Source organism: Homo sapiens, chromosome 3 (assembly GCF_000001405.40).
Source record: "Homo sapiens chromosome 3, GRCh38.p14 Primary Assembly".
NCBI classification, from domain to species: domain Eukaryota; kingdom Metazoa; phylum Chordata; class Mammalia; order Primates; family Hominidae; genus Homo; species Homo sapiens.
Genome location: NC_000003.12, coordinates 69,143,096 through 69,146,703, shown reverse-complemented (window position 1 = coordinate 69,146,703; position 3,608 = coordinate 69,143,096). Strand labels below are relative to the sequence as shown.

The 3,608-nt window shown below is 40.2% G+C and overlaps 1 annotated feature.

The window, feature by feature from the left end:
- Window positions 1,344–2,001: an enhancer, noted in NCBI's record as "OCT4-NANOG hESC enhancer chr3:69193854-69194511 (GRCh37/hg19 assembly coordinates)". NCBI's record gives its function as "activates a minimal SCP1, AML or CMV promoter by ChIP-STARR-seq in naive H9 embryonic stem cells {active_cell/tissue: H9 hESC(naive)}" and the evidence as "EXISTENCE:reporter gene assay evidence [ECO:0000049][PMID:30033119]".

Below are 3,608 nucleotides of genomic sequence, written 5' to 3'. Positions count from 1 at the left end.
CTGCAAACAGGTATTATGCAAACTGCTTACTGTTTCAATAAACAGCCAAATTGATCTCAGGATTACATCCAAGAAAAAGAGAATTTTTGGTTTTTAATATTATTTTTAAAAGATTAAGAACTAATTTCACTAATTTCAGGTTTATAGTACAGGTACCAAATTAATTTTTTCTTAAAAATATATGTGCATACCATATACTAGGCATTGTACCAGTGAAACAAATTGAGGACATTGTTCCTCGCCTCTGAGAAGCTTACAAACAAGTGGGAACTATAGGAATAAATACATTACAGTAAGATGTGCAATAATAAAGAAGATGTTAAAGTAATGTGGGCAACTTGGTAAACTTGTTTGTTCCCTCATATTGCAAAAATGAGAAGAATGCATCACCTGCATTTTTATTGGCACAGTTTTAAATAAAATGATTGTAATTTTTTTCAAAAAGATATAGATGTTAGGGGAAATCTTCTCACGTATGAGTCTTTGCCCAAGGCTGCTTTGTATTTGGGGGATATGTACTAGGGATTCTCTTCTACACTTTCTACTCATTATTTCCTTTAGAATCTCGGCATTTTGGATCAGATGCTTCTTTGCTGTGAGGGAGTGTCTTGTGCATTATAGAATATTTAGCACCATCCATGGCCTCAACTTTTAGATGCCAATAGCACTCCCCCAAGTTGTGACAACTGAAAATGTCCCTAGCAATTGCCAAGTGCCCCTCTGTGGGGTGAGGGTGGGGGGCAAACTTTCCTCTCCTCAATGGAGAGCCACTGCTCTAAGAGCTGTAGTTGCTAATCTGATTGTCAACAATCTGACTTCCATGGTGACAATCTGGCCTCTATTAGGCCATATTTCACTGGTGGGGCAGTTACTGTGTTAGAGAGCTCTTGACCTCTCTTTTGCTTTTCTGAAGCCTCTTAAGTCACAGAGGCTGATAATATAAATGCTAAAAAGCACTAGGTTTAACCTAATTCCAGCTTCAGCACTTATTAGCTATATAACCTGGTTAAATTCCTCCCTTTCTCTAAGCCTTTGCTTCTGAAACTGTAAAATGGGAATAATAGTACTCATCTGTGGCAGCTGCAGCTCATTCCATACTCAATATTTGTACCATCCTTCTTCCATAGTAAAACCCTCAATTTTGTTTGGGTGGCAATGTGCCCAGGTTAGGGTTGCCAGATTTAGAAATAAAAATATAGGCTTTCCAGTTAAATGTTATTTTAAATAAACTATGAATAATTTTTCAGTAAAAGTGTGTCCCATTTACTAAAGAGTCATTATTTATTTGAAATTCAAATTTAACTGGGTATTATGTATTTTATCTGGTGACCCTAGCTCAGTTAAAAATACTTCCCTCCCCAGGCTCCCTTTGCAGCCAGAAAAGAACCCATGACCTGGGTCTGGCCGATGAGATATAAGTAAAAATGTCCTGGGGACACTAATTGTTTTCCTGATAGACTCAGTTAGAATGTGGCTTTTGCTCTTTGCCCCTCCTCCTTTTTTCTGCCTGGAGTGTGAGTGTGGTACCCACAGCTGCAGGAGGTCTTTCCAGCATGAGCGGAGAGCTTGCAGGAGGCTGGGTTGCTAACGACTTCCCTGCTGAGCAGCTGTAACTTCTCTTTTCAATAGAAACCTGTATGGTTAAGTCACTGATGTTTGGGTTTTCTGCCACCTGCCTGTGCTGGATATTCTGCTTGCCCCTCCAGATCCAGTTCTGCCTGTGCCCTTGTGCTACATTGCAAGGGGAAGCTGCCTTGAACCACATCAAAGGGCCATTGCCCTCTGATTTCCAAAGGGATTTGGTCAATGGGAGGAACTAGCCAGAAACAGGAGAGAGAGAGAGAGAGGTTGGAGAATAGATCCCTCTAGCTCCCGCCTTCTCAGCTATGGGGCAGTAGCTGTATTCCTCTACCCAAAGCCACACCTCTGGCCAGATGGCCCTCTGCTATAGCTGCATCTCTTTCCCTGGGTTCCACAGACCTCCTGCCTCCTGCCCTAAGGTCTAGAGGGATAAGAACCTCTCCATGCCCCAACCCCTATGTCATCTAGACAGTTACCCTTATCCCTGCTCCCACCTCTGCCTTGAAGGTAACACCGATTTCCCAGGGGGATTCTGATTCTTATGCCACCCATACAATTTTTAACTGATAAACTTCCTCAGAGGGGTTTTGGAATTACCATGTAAGATGATGACATCGAGCCTAGCATTGTGCCTTGTGCCTGCTGCATAGTAAACTCTCAAGAAGTGTACTATTATTTGTAAGGAGATGTGGTAAAATCAGTAAGCTAATTCAAGGGCTCTTTTAGGGCCTGCCCTGCCTGCTCATTCTTTCCCTCTCCTTTGACTGTTCTCTTCCCTTGCCCATCTCTCCTTCCCCACTTCTCTTTCCTCCACCCCTAGCCAACAGACAGATCCCAGATGCTCATGTTCCATGATGTAGATTCTATGAGAGAAAGAAGAAGGACTCACTTTGTCCTTGAGCCTGAGCCAGGTCTGAGGATTTGCCATAGGGTGCAGTGGTCTCACCTAACAGTGAATAAACTTGCACTTTGCCTTTGGCTTTTGCTATTGATCTCTGTATATATACTCTATGGATCAGAACTTTAAAAGGGAAAAGGAGTGAATAGTATCCCAAAGCCCTAATAATAGTTGCAAAGAACAAAACCTAGTATGTTAATAAACGGTTTTAATTGCATTTGAATATAGGTTTCATCTCAGACACTGACTCGATTGATAGTGGCTGCCTACTGTGAGGCTCTGTGAAGGATTCTAAGGTTGCTCCTGGGCATAGAGAGAGTATTATGATTGATTAGTAATGTCTGCCATGAGCATGATGTAAGAGAGTGGTAATAGAAGTGCCAGGTATTTATCATTCCCGATCTGTAACATGAGCCTCAGCCAGTGGTAGTAGTTGTAATTTTCTGCTGGGTCATGCTCTAACATGGCCTTGGCAGGGTATTCAGATGGCTTGGTATAAATTGGGTAGTTCCACTGTTTATTTATCTTACCTAATGCAAGAACAAATTTTGCGCTAATTAAAATTGTATTTTAATTTAAATAACTGACTAATAAACAAATTATATACATGTATTTGGCCTCTCAAGAGAAGTGTGACTTTTTTACATACGATCTAATGCCAAGAAAGATGGAAAATCTATTAGAATAAATGCAAGAGATAGATTTACTTTAAATTAAATATTTGAGTAATTTTTTTTTCATGAAACTTTGGAATGCTATATTCATTTTTGAAACATACATTTTGGAAAAAAGAAAGATCACAATCATAGAAATCATACATGCTGTTACAAATAAATAGCCTCAAAAATTATTTTAGTAAAAACTGTAGTAGAATATCTCTTCCCAAATTAGTGCCTACACTCACATTCAACTACTGTGTCCCCGTAGCCTTGCCTCTTTCCTTGAGCCTCTCACTTTTATTCCTCTAGTTGCTGGGTGTTTGTTTTTATAAAGGCAACATCTGACCCTCTATAATCCCCAGATTACATTTCAGTGGATGGCCTCGGACAGAGACAGATAAATATTTTTTTTCAATTTTAGGAGTCTCCATCATACCTAGAAGTATTTTTTAAAGGGAGGCCAGTTTGTG